The following is a 22346-nucleotide window of genomic DNA, read 5'->3' on the forward strand; positions in this document are numbered from 1 at the left end:
TGAGATTATAGGTGTGAACCACCATGCCGGCCAATAAACATGAATAAACAATGAACATCATGCAGGCCATATATTACAGACCAAAAAATAATTAATTAGTGTTCTTGGCAAAAGTAAACCCATTAATCCATAGCTGCAACAAGAATATATACAGTATCAGGAAATCTTTTTGTATTCAGTAATCACATAAAGAACAATCATAAAAATCCTGTAGTTATTTTGAAAATTATTAATAATAAACCTTATACATAAATATAGGTTGTTTCACAGTTTATAAATGCCATAAAATAATCTGCATATGAATACCTGATTCTTCCAGGAGGTGATCTCCCTCAACTGTCACCAGCATATATATATTTATCCTACATACCACTTATTTTTTAAATGCCAAGATTCTATAAGCTTCCTTAAAATTTTGGGGACTGCCCACCCCTCGCTACACTCAGAATTCTCTTTGCCACTGGAGTCTTGATAGTGTTGCTACTTCTATGGACCAGTATGAAGTAAGGATTCAAGAAACTCAGAGCTCTTGCTGCTGGACTAACTGCAAAGACTCGATAATTAAGCTGACCCTTCTCATAGATGCAATGTGATAAACTGTGTCAATGCTCTCTAAAAATTGTAAAAGGTTTACATTACAATAGAGTTTATCTACAAAATCCCTATGACATTAGTGTTTACCTGTGTCTTAGATTAAATGAATAAAAGGTTATCTTCTTATCTGCCATAGTTTCTAAAATAAACCGAGTCCCCAGTTTTAAACTTTTTAAATAAAATTCTTTCATAATTTGAGAGCTACAACATAAGTGCTTTTCAACTACTTACCTTCTTCCAGCTTAAAAAAAGATTGTGAAAGGGACTGAACATCTTCCTTAGGAATTTTATAAGCCAAAATAGAAGATACTACTTACCTTCTTCCAGCTTAAAAAAAGATTGTGAAAGGGACTGAACATCTTCCTTAGGAATTTTATAAGCCAAAATAGAAGAAAAACTGGAAAAAAAGATAAAATATGGAAAAAAATTAAAAATTACTACTATTATGTTCTAAAGCTAAAGTTCAACATGTTTAAAATTCAAAATTAAATTCAATAACTTATTTTGGTATTTAGTTGGATGAAAATTGTTTAAAATAATAACATTTTCATGCAAAACAACTCTCATTACTACTAAGAATGTTAAAAAAATTTAAATACTACTGAATATTGAAAAATCTAATACTAAGGCAGATATAAAACACCAGCCATCAGACTTCATTAGTCCAGTATTGGTGATAATACAGAGAGAGATATATAAATTATCTATCTACAGATACATATATTTCATATATATGAAAAAATATACATATATATTCACACACAGAGATATATATATATATGGTCTATGAATGAAAAGATGATTTTTCACTTAATCCTTAATATAATAACTTTTTATAACCTTTGCTCTATAAAGAAATATAACCACATTCTTTAAAATTTTACCTTTCCTGACGGCTTGCATTTGGGAAAATATACTGAATTTCTCTTTGAAGGCGGTCTACTTCTAGGTTTTCTATCCAGTCCTTCAATTTAATTTCCAAAAAGTAGCCTTTTCCAAATTTACTCTTTAGATGTTGTACTGTTCCGATACATCTGAAGTAATTTTTTAAAAGAAAGCTCAGATATAAAATGACAGCTTCAAAGAATAATCTCTCACACATATAACTACATTTTAAAAAAATATACCTTTATATTTAGAGAAAAATTACAAAGAAAATACAGCATCCCCATACACTCTTTATCCGGTTTCAGTTTCCCTAATCTTATCATCTTATATTACCATGGTAAATTCCTCACAACTGAGACACCGACATTGGTACATTCCTTGTCACTGAACTCCATACTTTATTTAGATTTCACCAATTTTCTATTAGTGTCCTTTGTTTATTCCAGGTTCTATCCAGGATACCGTAGTGTTCTTGGCTGTCACGTCACCTTAGTCTCTAACTGTGGGTGACAGTTTCTTACTCTTTCTGTCTTTTTCATGATTTTGACAGTTTTGAGAAGTACTGGTCAGGTGTGTGTTAGAAGGTCCCTCAATTTGGGTTAGTCTGATATTTTTCTCATGACTACACTTGGGTTATGGGTTTTGGAGAGAATATTACACAGCTGTAGTACTTTTTCCATCATATCATATCAGTGAATACATGATATCTGCACAACATCGTTTAGTTAAGGTAGTATTTGCCAGCTTTCTCAACTGTAAAGTTACTATTTTTCTCCTTCTGTCGTTCATTTTTTACAAGAAACTGGCTAAGTCCCGTCCAAACTTGGGGGATAGGAGATTAAGCCTCCTCCCTTGAAGTGGGTATTATCTACATATATTATTATTTGGAATTGTTCTGTAAGGAAGATGTACCTCTTCTCTGACACATTTCTTTACTCAATTATTTATTTATGTAAGTAGAAACTCATATGTTTATTTCATATTTGTGTTACATAATTAATCCAATATATAACAATTTTTTGAAATAACAAGTACTATGCCTAAAAATAATATTCCAAGTTATTGAAATATTAAGTGAATTCAAATTCAAAGTAGACAGCCATATTTTTAAAAAACTCAACATACTTCCAAGTCAATCTATCAAAAGCTAACTCAAAAACTAAAATATTTAACATTTAAATTACTAACTATTGCCATGTTTTTGAAATGATGACTTTCAAAATCCAACCCCCAACCTCTTCCCCTGAATGGCACGCTATTTAGACATCAACCTTAACTGCCCAGACACCATGATAGCTACTCGATCACAGACAGCCTCTGCCTCCTCCATATAGTGAGTGGTCAGAATAGCAGCCCGCTTTCTGTTTTTAAATGCAGTTCGAATTGCTCGCCTATAAAACATAAATAAAACAAAAAGAGAGGAACACATCTGTTTGTTAAAAAAAAATGGGTTTTTAAAAATCCAACCGGTTGGTTAATTAAGTTAATTAAAACTTACCAAATATCAATTGCTATGGCTATTACATCCTGCCCAACTATGATTTTTTTTTTTTTGAGACGGAGTCTCGCTCTGTCCCCCAGGCTGGAGAGAAGTGGCCCGATCTCGGCTCACTGCAAGCTCCACCTCCCAGGTTCACACCATTCTCCTACCTCAGCCTCCTGAGTAGCTGGGACTACAGGTGCCTGCCACCACACCCGGCTAATTTTTTTTTGTATTTTTAATAGAGACGGGGTTTCACCGTGTTAGCCAGGATGGTCTCGATCTCCTGACCTCGTGGTCTGCTGCCTCAGCCTCCCAAAGTGCTGGGATTACAGGCGTGAGCCACTGCGCCAGGCCATGACTTTTATATTCTAATTTATTTTCCCTTCATTTTGAAAGCTTGTCAAATGGAAAAAAAAAATCTATGATTTCAAATGTTAATATGGGCTAAAAGTATGACAACAAATAAATTTTAAAATTGATGCCTTTTCATGTTATAACCAAAACAGGCTTTGAATCATAAGAAAACCGTAACATGCATCCAAACCAAACCTTACATTTTATAGACATGGAAGTTGAGGCTTAAAGAGTTGTTCAAGGCCAGGCACTGTGCCTCACACCTGTAATCCCAGCAGTTTGGGAGGCCGAAGGGGGCGGATCACCTGAGGTCTGGAGTTCGGGACCAGCCTGGCCAACATGGTGAAACCCTGTCTCTACCAAAAATACAAAAAATTAGCCGGGCTTGGTGGCTCTTGCCTGTAGTCCCAGGTACTTGGAAGGCTGAGGCAGGAGAATCGCTTCAGCCTGGGAAGCAGAGGTTGCAGTAAGCCAAGACGGCACCACTGCACTCCAGCTTGGTCAACAGAACAAGACTCTGACTCAAAAAAAAAAAAAAAAAAAGAGTTGTTCAACTAATTAGTACTTTACAGGCACTGCATAATGACATTTCAGTCAATGATGAAACACATTTCCAACAGTGATTCCATAAGATTATAATACTTTTATAATGTATCTTTTCTGTGTTTAGATACATCTAGATACACAAATACCATTGTGTTACAACTGCCTACAGTATTCAGTGCAGTGACATGCTCTACAGATTTATAGCCTAGGAGTAATAGGCTATACCATATAGTCTAGGTGTGTAGTAGGCTATAACCACCCAGAGATTTATATAAGTACACTCTATTATGTTTGCACAACGACAACATCACCTTTCTCAGAATGTATCTCTGTCATTAGGCAATGCATGACTGTCCTAGAAAGAGTCTCAACATAAATTTAAGACACTATTATTATGGAAAAGATCATTTGTATGCTAAATGACTAGAAAAAAACTTAAAAACTATTCAGAACACTAGAACTCTTTATCTTAATAATGACTCATGCTTATTTCTGTTTCGGAATATGTAAAATATTATGAACACTTCATGAAAAATATGCAAAGTTTTAAAAGCTTAAGGAAATCTCTAAATCTATTTAATTTTTAATTACTAGTGTATCGTTTGAATAGGATTTAAAATCAAGATGTACATATAACTAACATTAAACTATTATAATAAAAGAAACTGTTCTATTCTAAAGTATCATGTACTGTGTCACAAGTACCATACTCACCACATGTGCTGTTTGGCTTTGGGATCCATACCTGTAGATGGTTCATCTAGCAAAGTAATCTGAGGATTCCCTAGCATACTTAGAGCAAAACACAACTACATGGAAAGAAAAAGATGGGTGGGAAATTAACAAAGGTTCACTATAAGGAATCTATCAAGACAATATCAGGTACTAAACTATCAATAAAAATACAGGCATTATTTGGTGTTTAATGAAAGTACCTTTCGTTTGATTCCTGCAGGTAGTTTCTTTACAGTCTTCTGAAGATGTTCTTTTAAATCAAGTGCATGTGTTATTCTGCAAAATGAACAATACAAAATGAGAATACCATGATATATATAAACACAAATACCAACTGGGTGTGATCCCTGATGTTGTTTTCTCTAGAATAGTTACTTAGTCGAAGCTTATTATAAGTAGGTAAGGGCAAAAGTCTCCAATTTACATCATTTTAAATAAATTAATATCTTGATAAAATGGTTCACTTTGAATTAAAATAAGTTTCATGATATCTATAGGTATATTTATCCTGTAACTAGAAATTAAAAAATGACCTTTTTATAACTATCATAATTTACAGCTATCAGTATATTTTCATATATCATAAAGAATATATGAAAAAGTAATAAACATTTTCTATAAAAATCATTGTCCACAGAAATGCTTGTTATGAAATTTTAAAAATATGAAATGCAAACCTTTCCTCTAAGTAACAAAAGGAATCTAAAGACAATTATTTTACCGACTTATGACTTCTTTCATGTCACTTGCACTCATTCCTTTGACAGCTCCATAAATTTCAAAATGTTCCTGCAATGTAGTATCTGGCCACAAAGGGTTTATCTGAGGACAGTAACCCATACACTTCAGTGAATCATCATCTTCACTTGTCTCTGAAGAATAATCTCCTAAAAATACCTATAGAAACACAAACCAATTTTTATTATTTTGCTTAATTTACACTGTGAAGGAAGTGGCAAGTACATTAATTAAAACCCCTTCCTACAGCCAGACTAATATCAAGTCAGATTTGTACTCCTTTATTGTCATTATTATTATTATCACTAAGTAACTGAGACTACAAACATGTGCCACCATGCCTGGCTATTGCTTTTTTCTTTTTTGAATTTTAGGAGGGAAGATGTCTCACTACGTTGCCCAGGCTAGTCTTGAATTCCTGAGCTCAAGTGATCCTCCTGCCTCAGCCTCCCAAAGTGCTGGGATTACAGGAATGAGCCACTGCACCCGCCCAGATGTTTTACTCCTTTTTGATGTTTGATGATGGAAGGACATATAAAGCTAAGTCAGAGTTCAGAGACTTGGTCAGAAAGGGTAATACAGAGTTGGATGAAAAAGCAAGATGTAATTCTAATGATCAGGGAGCTTCACTGGAAGGTGACATTTGAGCCAAAGAGGTAAGTGAATTTAGTATATGTATTTCTAGGGTATAAGGTATAGCCAAACAAAGAAAACATCTTGGGCAAAAACCCAAAGAAAAGAGTATGCCTGGCATTTTCCAGGAAAGCAATGAGTTAGTGTGGCTGGCATAAAGTAAGCAAGGGGAGAGAAGCAGGAAATGGGATCAGGGTAGTTTTGTGAAGTATCCACAAAGTGGTCAGTGACATGCTTATAATAAAAGACTAGCTGATGGCAGGTCAAAACAAGCTCCCATATCTCCTGAAGCTAATAAAACTGTCTTCCATTAAGTTGGTAGACAAATAACTCACGCATGTAAGCATTACAAAAGCAGAAATACTGTATATGCGTGTGTCTACATGTGTCTATGAAAATTTCACCATGCACATTATTTTTACAGATAACCCAAAAGATCATAATTTGATCAGGCTGTACAAAAAATTCTAAAAATATACATAAAAATTGAATATAAAATCCGAATTTGTCACTAAAAGTTTATGTTAATTAACAATATAAATCACATTCAACATATCCTATACTCTTATATATCATACCTGGCCTGAAGTTGGTTCAATATCACCAACCAGAATATTAATAATTGTGCTTTTGCCAGCACCATTTGGACCCAATAGTCCTAAGATCTCTCCTAAAGGAATTGAAAGAAAAAAAAATCATAATCAAATCATACTAAAAGTAGAAATTACTCTTCTAGAAAAGTTATGTAAGGAAAAATTAAATACCAGCCTTTTTTCACACAGAAAGAGATGTATTTAGTTGCCACTTTCTTTACTTTTCTTGAAAGAAGAAAATCTTTCTTGTCATCATATTCTTTATGCAAATTGCTGACCATAATGGATGGTTTCTAATAAGAAAAATTGTATTTAAAAAGAAAGTTATAAAACTTATCATGAAATGACAGGCTGCACATACCTCATATCCATATTACAAAAATTATATTGGCTAATAAGGGGATACTGTACAAATAAATATCCATTTATGACTGAAATTCTGGCTTATTCAAAAGTAAGTAAACGAAGTATTTTTTTCCAAGAAAGATTTTTTTCAGATTGCTTCATATGCAAAGAAAAATATTTTTCAGATTAATTTCTATATACCGGGAATTGATCATTTCATATTTACTATGACTTAGCCATAAAGAATAAATTACCTCCTCACAACACTGGCAACCCATCAGCTCTTTGACCTTTAGTCTTTCAGCTTTGACATCTTCATCTTCATCCTCATTGTCTGGTGGTTCTGGAAGCTTCCTATTTTTAGACTTCGTTGAAAGGTTTCTACATATATATAATAAATATAAAAGACAGTAGGTTTTCAAATAATTAAAATAGTAAGAAATTCAGATACTAGGTAGAGAAAAGACTGAAAAAATACACTAACATAAGATCTAGGATTATCTCTGAAAGGTGGAATTATAAGCGATATTTCTTTTTTTTTCTTTCTTTCTTTCTTTTTTTTTTTTTTTAAGACAGGGTCTCACACTCTGTTGCCCAGGCTGGAGTGCAGTGGTACGATCTCAGGTCACTATAACCTCTGCCTCCTGGGTTCAAGCGATTCTCCTGCCTCAGCCTCCTGAGTAGCTGGGATTACAGGCACGCGCCACCATGCCCGGCTCATTTTTGTATTTTTAGTAGAGACAGGGTTTCACCATGTTGCCCAGGCTGGTCTCAAACTCCTGGCCTCAAAAGATCCACCTGCCTCAGCCTCCCAAAGTACTGGGATTACAGGTTCAAGCCACCATGCCCAGCCACAAGCATTATTTTTCAATGACTGATAACATTTGGACGATATTATCTAAATTCATTCATTTATTCAACAATATTATTTATGACTAGTAGGTGTCAGGTATTATTACACAGAAAGAAAGATGAAAAAACATGAACCTTGCCCTCAAAAAATTTACAACCTGAGTATAAATGAAATTGCCCAGAAAGAGTAGATGTAGAGGGTTGACATCAGAACCCACAGTAACACCATTTTTAGGGATAGACAGAGGATGAAGTGCTTGCAAAGGCAATTTTGAAGTACAGAGGCAAACAGAAGACATAATGGAAAACAAAGGAACAAGAAAAATGTGGCCAGGCGCAGTGGCTCCTGCCTGTAATCTTAGCACTTTAAGAAGCCGAGGCATGCAGATCACTTGAGGTCAGCAGTTCAACACCAGCCTAGCCACCATGGAGAAACCCTGTCTCTACTAAAAAATAAAATACAAAAATTAACCAGGTGTGGTGGCACATGCCTGTAATCCCAGCTACTTGGGAGGCTGAGGCAGAAGAATCGTTTCAACCAGTGAGCTGAGATCATGCCACTGCACTCCAGCCTGGGTGACAGAGTGAGATTCCATCTCAAAAAAAAAAAAAAAAAGAAAAATGTGTAAGGAGAACAATGTCAATCATATTAAAGCCTGCAGATTAGTTAAATAAGTTGAGCCTATTAGACAATGAAAAGACAAAATCATTAGTTATCTTATTGAAAATAGTATCAATGGAAAGGTAAGGGAAAACCCAGATTGCAGGGAGTTATAGGAGTGGATGGAAGGTGAGTAACTGGAGATAGAAGAATTTTGGCTATGAAAGGAAAGAGAGATATAGAATAGGAATTAGGGATGGATTCATGTTCAAATGAGATCCATGGGTTCTTTCATATATGAAAGAAAGGTGACCCTCCCCAACCCCAAAAATATACCACTGAGATCCAGAAAGGAAAGAGAAAAAGAGAAAAAAATACACTATTGAGATCTAGAAAGGAAAGAGAAAAAGAGAAAAAATACACTTTTGAGATCCAGAAAGGAAAGAGAAAAAGAGAAAAAGAAAATTGAGCAATATTCCAAGTATATAGAATAAATGAAGATTTGGGTAATAGGATGGACTGCTGCTTCCTCTAGGACTGGGAAAAGGCAAAAATGATGGAAGATGTGAGTAAGTTTGTAGAAATTTATAACTTATAATTAAGTGCTTCTATTTTCTGAGATAAATGACAAGATTATTTACTGAGAAGTAGGAAGTAAGATAAGGTGATTTGAGGAATACAAGGAATAAAGAGAAAGCTTTGAATAACTATTGAAAAGAAAGAGATAAGAAGGTGCTAACTAGGAAAATGTTATTCGTTACCAAACAGTATTAAAATATAACTACCATTCAACCCAGCAATCCTACTACTGGATATATATCCAAAGGAAAAAAAAAATCATTACATAAAAAAGACACCTGAACTCATATGTTCATCATGGTACTATTCACAATAGCAAAGTCATAGAACCAACCTAAGAGTCCATCAACAGTTGACTGGGTGAAGAAAATATGGTACATATACACCATGGAATACTCCACAGCCATAAATAGAATGAAATTATGTTCTTTACAGCAACATGGATGGAACTGGAGACCATTATCCTAAGTGAACTAATTTGGAACAGACAATCAAATACCACATGTTCTCACTTATAAGTTCTCACTTATAAACAGACAATCAAATACAACATGTTCTCACTTATCAGTGGATACACATGAACATAAACATGGAAACACTAGGACTGTGGACTCCAAAAGGGGGTGGGGATAAGGGTTGAAAAACTACCTATTAGGTACAACGTTCACCATTTGGGTAATGTTACAATAGAAGCCCAATCCCCACCAGTATGCAATATACCCAGCTAACAAACATGCACATTTACCCCCAAATCTAAAATATTTTTTTTAAAAAACCAGCTGAATTTATATGGAATAAATATGTAGTATTATCAAATGGAACTTTTATGTTATTTTTTCCAGCATATAATTCGATTCACCAATAATTATAATTTTTAGTGGACAGTTCGAAAAGACAAAAGTTGAGGATGCTGAAATGATAATAAAGTGATGAATCATGTAAGCAAGGCTGGATAGAAGAAAAAGTAAAAACAAATTAGCTAATATATTTGGAAGAATATGTAAAAAAGACAAACAATAACAAGCATTGGCAAGGATGTGGAGAAAATAGAACCCTAAAACATTCCTAGCGGGAGTGTAAAATGGTATTACCACTTTAGAAACAGTCTGGCAATTCCTCAAATGACCCAGCAATCCCATTTCTAGGTATCCACCCAAGAGAAATGAAAATATATGTCCATACAAACAGTTGTATACAAACTAGCAACATTGTTCATAATAGCTGAATTCATAGCAGCATTGTTCATAATAGTTGAAAAGTAAAAGCAACTCATTAAGATATATAAAAAGTGCTACACACGACTACATGATAAGCCCTCCAAACATTATACTAAGTGTAAAACCATATGCTAGATACTAATTATAGTGCCCAAATCCTAGCAATTTTTCAAAGATGTTATCTGGCAAATCTGATGATTTTCCAACATTAAAATAACATGCCAACCAACTATGGTAAAAAGCAAACAGATATAAAAGTTAAATACAAGGTATTTAAGAGAATTGTTGGTCTTTTGACTCAAGTTTTCCAAAGCATATTTCCATTGTCCAGTTATATAAAGTGTTCAGAACAGGCAAATCTGACAGAAACAGAAAGTAGATTAGTGGTTACCTAAGACTGGGAGCTATGGGAATAGGGATAAGAAAGTGGCTGTTAATGGGTACAAAGTTTCTTTTTGGAGTGCTGGAAATGTTCCAAAATTATGTTATGGTAATGGTTACACAGTTCTGTAAATATACTAAAAACATTTAAAATTTTTAAAAAATCAACTGACCTGAAAAAGGGATCTTTTCTTATTGATCTGCCTCCATATTTTTTCTCATAGTATTGTAAGAGGAAAATCCACAGTACACACTGCAGGTAAGGCTAAAAGAAGAACATGTAGCAGCTCATGACTAAAAGATTTGTTGTTGTTGTTGTTGTTTTTTCCTTTGCCAACAGAACTAAGACTACATACATCAAGTTCCTTGCCATTACCAAAAGAAGTAATCACAACTTTTTTATATTTTACATGATAAAGATAATTAAAAATAAATTTTAATACAAACCAAAGCAGAATTATTTTTAGCAAATTATTCACATATTTTCTGCCTCTGTATCATTCATTTATTGTCAGCTTCATAAAATATAATCGAACACAAAAACTTTGTTTTTGCTTCTAAGACAGAACTGTAATTAAACAGAATTAATAACATGTAAAAGGCTAAGTATATTAAAGTGAACATATTCAGTAAATGAAAGGTACTCCCCACTGAAATACAGATTAGCTAGCGTTAACTAACATGCTTAACTTTTTATGCACCTTCTTTTTCATGCAACAGGATAAAAAACTAAACATAGTTAAAACCATAGGACCAAACCATTCTTAAGGTACATGCTAATTCACAAAAACACTTTATTTCTTACCGATATAACAGCTACTGAAAGCCTATCCCATGGATTATAGGTGTCCACATTTTTTCGTACATTCTTCCAAGAAATCTAAGACAAAAAGATTTGAAAATATATACGCTGCAATATGTAGAAATATTTGGATTAAAATGAAAAAATGTATTTTGTTTAGCAAACGTGTACTTTCTATAATAAGTTAGCTGTTCATATTAGTAAGTTATGTTTTTTACTTAAAATCTTCCCTGTCCCAAAATATTTCTGAGGATCAGTATAAATTAAACACATTGAACTGAGACCTAAAAAGGGAAGCAGGGGTAGTAGGATTAGTAAGTAGAATTAATTAGCAATTCCAAACCAAGAATTCATAACAATATTTTTTCTAATCACATGGAAATTTCTTTCAATTATCCAGCCTTAATAAAATCAATCTGGTTTTTGTCTCTATTTTTTCTTGGAGAAAATCTCTTACACTTTATTCTTTCTCATCCCTTTATAGTGAAATACGTTATTTAATCACTGATAAACTCCTAAAAACAAATACTGACTGAAACCATGTCACACTTCTAATTATATACATCATTTTGAGCATGAGAGAACCTGTAATGAACATAGCCCTTTTCCTTTGAGAATTTACAGTTTGACAAGAGCTCACAATAATTTATGCTGCATTAATAATATCTAAATCAAGTAGTAGCCATTAGCCCAATGCATTTTACTGTTTTCTATACAAGAACTAACATCCCCAAATTAGACCATATTTATTTTATGTTTTTTAACATATTAAAATATTTAGCAGAATTACCTTTATGAAAGAAATCAGGCAACCTAGAAGTGGATAGATTGGAATGATGATACAAAAGGCATAATGAAGAATAGTTGCAATTGTGTATCCCATAAAGAAAGTTATTTCAGTGATTGCAATACAAGCCAACGCTGCCTAAAGAAAAAAATAAATAAATAAAAGTGACAAAGTGTTTAGAAACTTCTTACAAATTGGTGTCTACGCATTAAACTATTTTTTCAATCCTCTAATAAAACATGGAACAAGAGATGATATTTAGCCAGCAAGCAACAAGAATACCACTTGTTTGTAGCTAGTATCCTTGATACACTAGTTGCTAAATCTCTTCCATATTGTTCCTACGTGGAAAGGATGATTCAGAAGACAAATGTACACACAAAAAGAAGCTGCCAATTACCTATCTAAATTATTCACTTACAAAAGACATGTAACATTTTTAGTATAATCAGGAAAGAATTCATGTTAATTAAACTGCTATGGAAAGTTGAAATAATGTAAAATGTGACTTACCACAGAATAGATAAATGACCAAAATTCTTTGGTATTTAAAATTTTCTTAAAGGTGAAAGAAGCAATATAAGTGAACAGAATAACTGATGGAACATAACCAATAAGGCAAAAAACCTGTAAATCAGAAATATGTTTCTATAAAAATATGAATAGCTTGCAATACACATGACATGAAATACTAGCCATATTAAAATATGAAATTATTAATATAATCCTAAATAAATCATTTAAACTGAACACTACTTGTAGTTTTTTGTACCAAGTAAAATACTATCTCTCATTATTATAAAAAGCAAGTATAGCTAGCTACAACGTTCTCTCTCTCAAATATTAGCTACTATTTTAATATACAGCACTTTATTTTTTAATGTGTAAGAAAAACATTATTATTTTATATGGCAGAAACTAATATATAAGGTCATTATGATCTCTGACAAAATCGGTAAATTTACTTTCAGCATCAACCTCATGTAACTCTGTTTTCCCTTTTTCCTAATAAAGTAATCAATGAAAGGGCCTGCTGTCAGTCATTTACATGTGAACATGAATGCAAATCAGTCTCTTCTTTGATATTTTAAGCTATATTTTATTTTAAGTAATTTCTAGTTTTACTTTAGAATCAGGGGATACATGTGCAGGTGTGTTACATGGGTATACTGCATGATGCTGAGGTTTGGGGTATAATTCATTCTGTCACCTAGGTACTGGACACAGTACCTAACAGTTAGTTTTTCAACCCTTGCTCCCCTTCCTCCTGCCCCCGTCTAGTAGTGCCCAGTGTCTACTGTTGCCATTTTTATGTCCATGTTTACCCAATTTAGCTCCCATTTATAAGTGGGAACATGCAATAGTTGGTTTTCTGTTCCTTTGTTAATTCACTTAGAATAATGGCCTCCAACTGCACCTGTGCTGCTGCAACAGACATAATTTCATTCTTTTTTATGGCTGCTCAGTATTCCGTGGTGTATATGTACCACACTTTCTTTATTCAATCACTGGTCAATGGGCTCCTAGGTTGATTCCATGTCTTTGCTATTGTGAATAGTGCTGCAATGAACATACTCATGTGTCTTTTTGGTAGAATGATTTATTTTCTTTTGGATATATACCCAGTAATGGGGTTTCTGAGTTATAAGGTAGTTCTGTTTTAAGTTTTTTGAGAACTCTCCAAACTGCTTTCCATGGCTGCTGAAGTTTACATTCCCACCAAGAGTATATAAGAGTATATAAGCATTTCATTTTCTCTGCAGCCTCGCCAGCATCTGTTGGTTTTGACTTTTTAATCATAGCCATTCTAACTGACATGAGATGGTATCTTACTGTGGTTTTGATTTACATTTCTCTGATGATTAGTGATGTAGAGCATTTTTTCATACATTTGTTGTCCATTTGCATGTCTTCTTTTGAGAAGTGTCTGTTCATATCTTTTGCCCACTTTTTAATGGAGTTTTGTTTTTTGATTGCTGAATTGTTTAAGTGCCTTATAGATTCTGGATACTTGGCCTTTGTTGGATGCATAGTTTGTATTTTCTCCCATTCTGTATGTTATCCATTTACTCTGTTGATAGTTTCTTTTGCTGTGCAGAAGCTCTTTAGTTTAATTAGGTGCCACTTGTCAATTTTTATTTCTGTTGCAATTGCTTTTGAAGACTTATTTACCCATAAATTCTTTCCCAAGGTCCAGAATGGTATTTCCTATGTTTTCTTGTAGAATTCTTATAGTTGATGTCTTACCCTTAAATCTTTAATCCATCTTGAGTTACTTTTTACATACGGTGAAAGGTGGAGGTCCAATTTCATTCTTCTGAATATGGCTAGCCAGCTATCCCAGCACCATTTATTGAACACAGAGTCCTTTCCTATTGCTTATTTTTATCAATTTTGTTGAAGATCAGATGGCTATAGATGTGTGGCTTTATTTCTGGGTCCTCCATTCTGTTTCATCGGTCTACATGTCTGTTTTTGTACCAATACCATGCTGTTTTGGTCACTGGAGCCTTTATAGTATAGTTTGAAGTCAGGTAATGAAATGCCTCTGGCTTTGTTCTTTTTACATGGATTCCTTTTTTTTTTTTTTTTTGATAAAAAGTCTCTCTCTGTTGCCCAGGCTTGAGTGCAGTAGCACGATCTTGGCTCAACACAACCTCTACCTCCCCGGTTCAAGCGATTCTCCTGCCTCAGCCTCCTGAGTAGCTGGGACTACAGGCGCATGCCACCACGTCCAGCTATTTTTTTGTATTTCTAGTAGAGATGGTGTTTCACTATGTTGACCAGGATGGTCTTGATCTCTTGACCTCGTGATCCACCCGTCTCGGTCTCCCAGAGTGCTGGGATTATAGGCATGAGCCCCCGCGCCCAGCTTATGTAGGATTCCTTTAGCCATCTGGGTACTTTTGGGGTTCCATATGAATTTTAGAATAGCTTTTTAAAATTCTGTGATGAATAATGTTGGTAGTTTGATAGGAATAGTGTTGAATCTGTAGATTGCTTTGGGCAGTATGGCCACTTTAATATATTGAGTCTTCTAATCCATGAGCATGAAATTTTTTTCCATTTGCTTGTATCATCTCTGAATTCCTTCACCAATGTTTTGTAGTTCTCCCTGTAGAGATCTTTCATCTCCTCTGTTAGATGTATTCCTAGGTATTTTAATTTTTTGTGGCTATTGTAAATGGAGTTGTGTTCTTCATCTGGCTCGCAGCCTGCCCATTATTGAGATAGAGAAATGTTAAGCTATATTTTAAACTATGGAATAAAAGAGCTTATCCTTTGTGAAATTATTTTCAGGCATAAGAAAAACGAAGGAAGGCATTTTAAGGAAGGAATATATTAAAACGTTCCTGATTACACCCAAGTAGGTGGTCTACATGAAAGATCACTTTAGTTTCAAGAAATTATTTTAAAATGGTGGTAAGTTATTGTTTTTAAAAGTCACTTATCATATAAAATGATTACATGTATTAAATACCAGACACACTTGCTCTATTTTCTTTAACAAATTAATAACCAAATTATGCAATAAGTCAACTGTCATGTTTATAACAGATTTTAAATAACATTCTATCTATAAATAGCATGAGTACAACTAACGTTAACTTACCACAGCAAGGAACTTTACAGTATAAAAATATAATCCATAATGAAATGCCAATAAGCTTCCTAGCATCAAAATAAGAATGATAAAAAATAAGGGGATATCAACAACAGCTTGTCCAATCCAATATGCAGATGGCAAAAGACCTGAAAGTTTAAGTTGAGTATAAGCTTTGATCTAAAAAAAATGAAAAACAATTTATTATAATTTTAGACACTTTAGAAACACACAAATAAATTAGTAAATTATTGTAGATCTCTTAATTTTACATCAGCAAAACCAAAAAGGTTACATTCCAGGCTTATAGGTAATAAAAGTCCCCCTCACACTAAATACAAATTCCATTTAGCCTTTAATTTGGCTCATTATTTCTGAGATGTAACAATTTCAACAAAATTTTTAAGAATCAGAATACAGTAGTGCTGCCAAGAAACTGAGATTAAAATAAAGCAAAAGGTGTCATGGCGGTTGGGGTTACAGCTATACAAATAATAAATAGCCAAAACATTACTACTTTTGAAATACTGTGGAAACAGATGGGAAGACATGTTTACACAGAAAAAGAATTCTCAGTTTTAAAAATGAACCTTTCATAAATAAAAACACTAATAAATTGCCAAGTATCCTTTGGATTTACATAAGGCTTTCAGCTTAAGTGAAAGCTTTTGAAATGTTCAAAGCCTTTTGTGTACACTGGTATAGCATATAAATCTAAGGTGTTATTTACGTCACAAGTTTGTTAATGGTAAACTCAAATGATCATAGTTTTCCTATCTCATGTTCTCATTTAATTTGAAATTTCTAAAATATTTCATAAATCCAAATACCTAACAATTTTATTTAGTTGATTTTTGTCATCTATAAAAATATCTACTCCTAATAACTGAAGGTATTATATGAAAGAGCTGTCCACAGAGATAAAGGAAGCATGAAATATAAAGATTAGTTAAGAAGAGGAGAAATGAACAAAATTGGCAAGTTTTCTGTTCAATGAATTATGAGAACATGAGACACATGTAAATTCTAATACAAGAATAAAAACATAAGCTAAGGCAAATGCAATTATTTTGGATAATTCAAACTTTTGTCATTCACACACTGCTGGTAGGGATAACATAAAATGGAACACTCATCTTGGAAAATAATTTGGCAATTTCTTATAAAATTAACATGTATAATTCAGCAATTGCACTCTTGGGCATTTATCTCAGAGAAATGAAAATGATGTTTACACAAAACCTGTATGCAAATGTCCACAGCAACTTTACAAAAGCCAAAAACGGAAAACAATCCAAATGTTCTTCAACAGGCAAATGGTTAGAGAAAGTGTGATGTATCCATACCATGGAATATTACTCAGCAATGAAAAGGAATGGATTATTGATAAATACAAATAGGATGAACTTCAAAAAAAATGCTATTTGAAAAAAGCCAATCCCAAAAGAAAACTTATTGTGATGCCATTTTACATTTTTGAACTATCAAAATTACAGAAATAGAGAACAGAGTAGTGGTTGCCACAGGTCAGAGAGGCTAGGAAAGAGCAAAAAATGGGAATCTTTTTGGTGACAGAAATGTTCTGTATCTTGACTGTGTCAATGCCAATACCCTGTTACATTGTACTATAATTTTACGAGATGTTATTATTGGGACAAAATGTAAAGAGTACACAGGATCTCTCTGTCATTTCTAACAAACAAACATGAATATACAACTATCTCAAAATAGAAACTTTAATTAAAAATAAGTTAGTGGGTGCAGTGCACCAGCATGGCACATGTATACATATGTAACTAACCTGCACAATGTGCACATGTACCCTAAAACTTAAAGTATAATAAAAATATATATATATATAAATAAAAAAATTAAAAAATAAATAAATAAAAATAAAAAATTTATATTGGAAAAAAAATGTTTCAGTTGAAACAAGAAAGAAAATGCAAATGTCCAGTAAATTTTATTATTGTGCAGTGGGTTATGGATTTCTATATTCCTTATACTTTTCTATAATTTATACATTACTACAATGAGTATATTTAACAAAAATTGAATATTATTTTAAAAATAGAGATATGTGTTACTTTTATAGTAAACAAATAACAAAATTTTTATTAGAATGTATTTATTTATTTTATTTATTTATTTATTTATTTATTTTTGAGATGGAGTTTTTGCTCTTGTTGCCCAGGCTGGAGTGCAATGGCATGATCTCGGCTCACTGCAATCTCCGCCTCTCGGGTTCAAGTGATTCTCCTGCCTCACCCTCCTGAGTAGCTGGGATTACAGGCATGCACCACCACGCCCTAATTTTTTTTCTATTTTTAGTAGAGACGGGGTTTCTCCATGTTGGTCAGGCTAGTCTCGAACTCCCAACCTCAGGTGATCCGCCCACCTCGGCCTCCCAAAGTGCTGGGATTACAGGCGTGGTCCACCACGCCTGGCCTACAATTTATTTTTTTAGAATTTATTAAAATAATGAGCTCATTATTCATCACAGTCTGTAAATTAATTTAGACAAATTTGTTTTTACTGAATTAAGATCATCCATGAAGAAGATCAGAATTTTTATTAGAGCAGTAAGATATAATCTCAGCAGAGTGAAAAAGTGGGAGGCTTTGAACAACCAAAGACTGTACAAGATCGCTATATGCCTGAAGGAAAACAAAAGGGAAAGGCGTAAAAAGAAAGTGAAAGAATACCAAAGAACCTCTGTATACTTAGCAATTTCTCCAAGGCCCTAATGATGACAATCACTTTCATCTATTTTTTTTCCATTAATAAGAATTTAGCACCTTGACTACTTAATACCTCTGTTAAAGGATAAAAGGGACGGGCATGTTAGTTTGCCAGTTAAGAACATAAAGATCACAGTCACTTCCCAAATCCACAATTTAAACAAGTTGAGTCAACCTGAGCAAGTCATATGAACAATCCCATCTTTGATTTCCTGATCTATAAGAAATCAGTAACAAAAAACTTACCTCACAATGTTGTGAGAATTAGAGAATATAATTTTTAAAGCATGTAGCAAGTCTCAAATAATAAATATTAATTATCACTTATTACAATAAGAAACTATAATAAATGTATTTATATTCCATTTACTTATTTCTGAAATAACAATTATACTAAGCCTTGCAATCAAGCAAATAGGTTATTTTTATATGACACTTCTTATTAGCAAATTATATATTTTTAACTGAGTCATTACCTTATGATTCTCTGCATTTTCCATGGCAAAGTAAGGTGGCATTGCAGTAACAATGATTCCAAGCAAAGCTGCTTGAAAATACAGCTCAATTTTAAAAACTATATCAGTAATTTCCTGAAAGACAACCACAGAGTAACAAATGGAACTGAGAATCATTTTATATCTTAAGATATATCTTAGGATATATCTTATATCAAAAAAAAATCAAAACCTCAGAAAGAATGTATTAGAATATCTAACCCAGGCATAGTCTACATGAAAGAATGAGTGGCAGATGTATTAACAGGTGGTTGTGGACAATATTACCAACTCTGCCACTTATTAATAACTATCTGATCCTAAGCAAATCATTTTACTTTCATTTTCCTGTCTACAACACAGAATAATCAGGCATATAAATTACGCTTCACAATTTCATAAAAATGAATGATGTATTTGAAAAGCAGTTAGTATGTCCACCATAGTGGTCCTATGAAATAATAATAAATATCTAAGAATGATATTTGTTGCTCTTGTCTTTTTAATTGGGAAAAGCTATATCCAAGCTCAGCTTCCTATGGAACTAGAACTTCTTCTCCCAAGCAGAAGAGGAATTAACTCCCACAGGCCCCAATGTCGTTAGCTTCCCCAGGGATCCAGGTGCAGTCAGCTAACTTTCCCAGACAATCAATAAACAGCTAGCACTTCAAATGCAGATTACCCAAGTCCAAGGATACTATATTATCAGCCACCCTCACCAAGGTCAGTTTCCTCCCCTTGTTCTATAAGAATACAGACCCGTGGGACAGAGAAGGTACTCTGCACTGGAATAGAATCCGCAGTGCCTAGCAGATACCCTCGCACTGGCACACCCCTCCATGGGATGACATAGAGACAGAGTACATCACTGTCTTGCTGAAACCTAGCCTTCTGAGTTTTCCTATTTAGCAATTAAGTCAATTCCAAAGTTCAGGTCATATGACATTGCAGAATTTGTCTGAAACTCTCGTAATATGACAGTGGAGGCTCAGAAAGAACCCACAAATATGTAGACTAGTAGTGCAAGAAGTGGAAATGAATGAGACTACAGTTGGATCCAATCATACAGAATCTAATGAAGAAACAAATTTGAAATATTAATACGACTATATATGAATAGTTAGCTTCAAAAACTCCCATGTATTTCTTTCGAAATATAGTATGATTATATGTCAGTGTTGTTGAAAATTGTAAGTTGTAAAATCTTGTGTAATAGTTATGGATACAGACATATGTAGTAACATCAAAAAAACACGTATGGGAATTACAAATTGTGAAATTGTGAATTGCGGTTACTCCTACGGAGGAGAGAAGGAAACAAGATTGGAGAGGGGTAACATGAGTTTTCACCTGTGTCTTAAAAGTTTTACTAAAAACAAATATTATGCAATATTAACATTTGAAATATTTGGATAGTAGGTGGTTCGTTTTCTGTACGTTTGAAATATTTCATAATATGAGATACCTCTCCACAGACACTGCTGCTGGAAATGGAAAATGATGCAACCATTTTGGAAAGCAGTTTGGCAGTTCTTCAAGTGTTAAACATAGAGTTACTAGATGATCTAGCAATTCCACTCCTAATTATATATCCAAGAGAAATAAAAACATATGCTCATACAAAATCTTCTACTCAAATATTCATAAGCATTACTCATAATAGCCAAAAGGTGGAAATAACCCAAATGCCATCAACTGATGAACAGATAAGTAGAATGCAGTATTTCACATAAACATTCCATACATTCCACACAATGAAATATGATTTGGTAGTAAAAATAAATGAAGCACTGATACGTGTTACAAAACAGATGAATCTTCAAAGCAGTATGCTAAGTACAAGAAAGCAGACAAAAAAGACTACATACTGTATGATTCCATTTATATAAAATGTCTAAAATAAGGAAATCCATAGAAACAGAAAGTACATTAGTGGTTGCCTAGGGTTGGGAGTGGGTATGAGAGGAAATGAGTGATTACTAATGAGTATAAGGGTTATTTTTTTTGGAGGGGGGTGATGGCATATTTAAAACTGACTGTAGTGATGACTGCACAACTCTATAAGCATAATAAAAGACACCGAAGTGTATACTTTGAATAATGGTCAGGTTGATTGGGCATTATATTTCAATGAAGCTGTTTTTAAAAGTATGAAAAGAAGAAGATAGAAAATATTGTTACAGATATTTGTCCATTTATTTTTTAGCATATGAAAATCAAAAGGATTAAGAGAAAATATGTTGGATACTTTTCTGTAATCTTGATTCTGATATGTACAATCCAACAGTTCTATCTAGAGGAAAAATGGTTGCCTGGGTGACTTCTCAAGTTTTTTTCAATACCCAATACCTGGATTTTAGGTAAAAAATATTCATTTAAAAATTATCTTATATTTTATTCTATGATCAATATAGAACACACTTATTCCTTATACAAATATTAATACCAAAACAGAATCTCCTTTACCCTGAAACATACTTCTACTGGGGAATCCTAAACCTTAATGTAAACCGTTTCTCACTTGAGTTTTAAGAAGTCTAAGAGATCTCACAAGATAAATTTCTACATATTTTGTTATTTTTGCTTAGTTTTTAATGGTTATTATATATATGACATGCATATGGAAATTTATCTGTATATACATTGGCTTACTTGAAAGAATGGGGTACTCCAGATCTGGATGGTTTCAGTCACATTTAAATGATAAAGATAGTAGTTACTAATGATATTCACTAATATAGGTAAAGAATAAACCATAGTACTGTTGAAAACAGCTGCAAAAACATAGTCCTACAATTAAAAAAAAGACACTTATTACATACTGTATATAAGCGGATATATTATTGATATGTACCAAGCTTTTCTCACCAACAAAGCTAATTCTCATACAGAAAAACTGCTTCAACAACTCACAGAAATAATACTCAATGACAGATAAAGACAATCTGGTTTGGAATGTACAGATATTTTAATATTTTAAACAAGCATATAATTTTTTAAAAAACTAAATTTCTGTAACTTTATATATTGGTCATCTGTGAAGTAATGAAATATATCATAAATAAAGACAGCTAGTTATTTCCAAAAGTAAAATCTAATTTCTAACTCATAAGGTCAAATCAACAAATAATTAATTTTAGAAGAAACGTTTTAATCTTGCATAACTCCCAAATGGATATTCATTCACTGCATTCATCTTACCTTTTCTGAATGCATCACATTTAAAGCCGCACTATGGGGAGCCACGGATACATAGTCACTGTCATTAATCATCGTCACCATTATGTTCTGGCTTGTGAAAAAGCTAATAAGATCACTGATATCTGAGTCTGGTGTTAGAAAATAAGCAAATAATAAAAAATGAGTCTAAACGAGGCTT

The 22346-nt window shown here is 33.2% G+C and overlaps 1 protein-coding gene across 2 annotated transcripts in view; it reads right to left on the bottom strand.

The window, feature by feature from the left end:
- The window catches only part of ABCA5 (ATP binding cassette subfamily A member 5), an 82823-nt gene that overhangs the window by 4683 nt on the left and 55794 nt on the right, over window positions 1-22346 (bottom strand). For both annotated transcript variants that reach the window (NM_172232.4, NM_018672.5), the window contains 17 exons: window positions 22169-22296; window positions 21620-21757; window positions 18950-19063; window positions 15742-15912; window positions 12642-12755; window positions 12132-12266; window positions 11345-11419; window positions 10713-10804; window positions 7164-7290; window positions 6740-6857; window positions 6550-6641; window positions 5322-5497; window positions 4801-4876; window positions 4580-4674; window positions 2754-2873; window positions 1479-1628; window positions 912-991 (listed from right to left, as the gene is read on the bottom strand). In NM_172232.4, coding sequence (NP_758424.1) covers window positions 912-991; window positions 1479-1628; window positions 2754-2873; window positions 4580-4674; window positions 4801-4876; window positions 5322-5497; window positions 6550-6641; window positions 6740-6857; window positions 7164-7290; window positions 10713-10804; window positions 11345-11419; window positions 12132-12266; window positions 12642-12755; window positions 15742-15912; window positions 18950-19063; window positions 21620-21757; window positions 22169-22296 — 2001 coding nt within the window. The remainder of the gene's footprint in view (window positions 1-911; window positions 992-1478; window positions 1629-2753; window positions 2874-4579; window positions 4675-4800; window positions 4877-5321; window positions 5498-6549; window positions 6642-6739; window positions 6858-7163; window positions 7291-10712; window positions 10805-11344; window positions 11420-12131; window positions 12267-12641; window positions 12756-15741; window positions 15913-18949; window positions 19064-21619; window positions 21758-22168; window positions 22297-22346) is intronic.

The sequence above is a fragment of the Homo sapiens genome, chromosome 17 (assembly GCF_000001405.40).
Source record: "Homo sapiens chromosome 17, GRCh38.p14 Primary Assembly".
Lineage (NCBI taxonomy): Eukaryota > Metazoa > Chordata > Mammalia > Primates > Hominidae > Homo > Homo sapiens.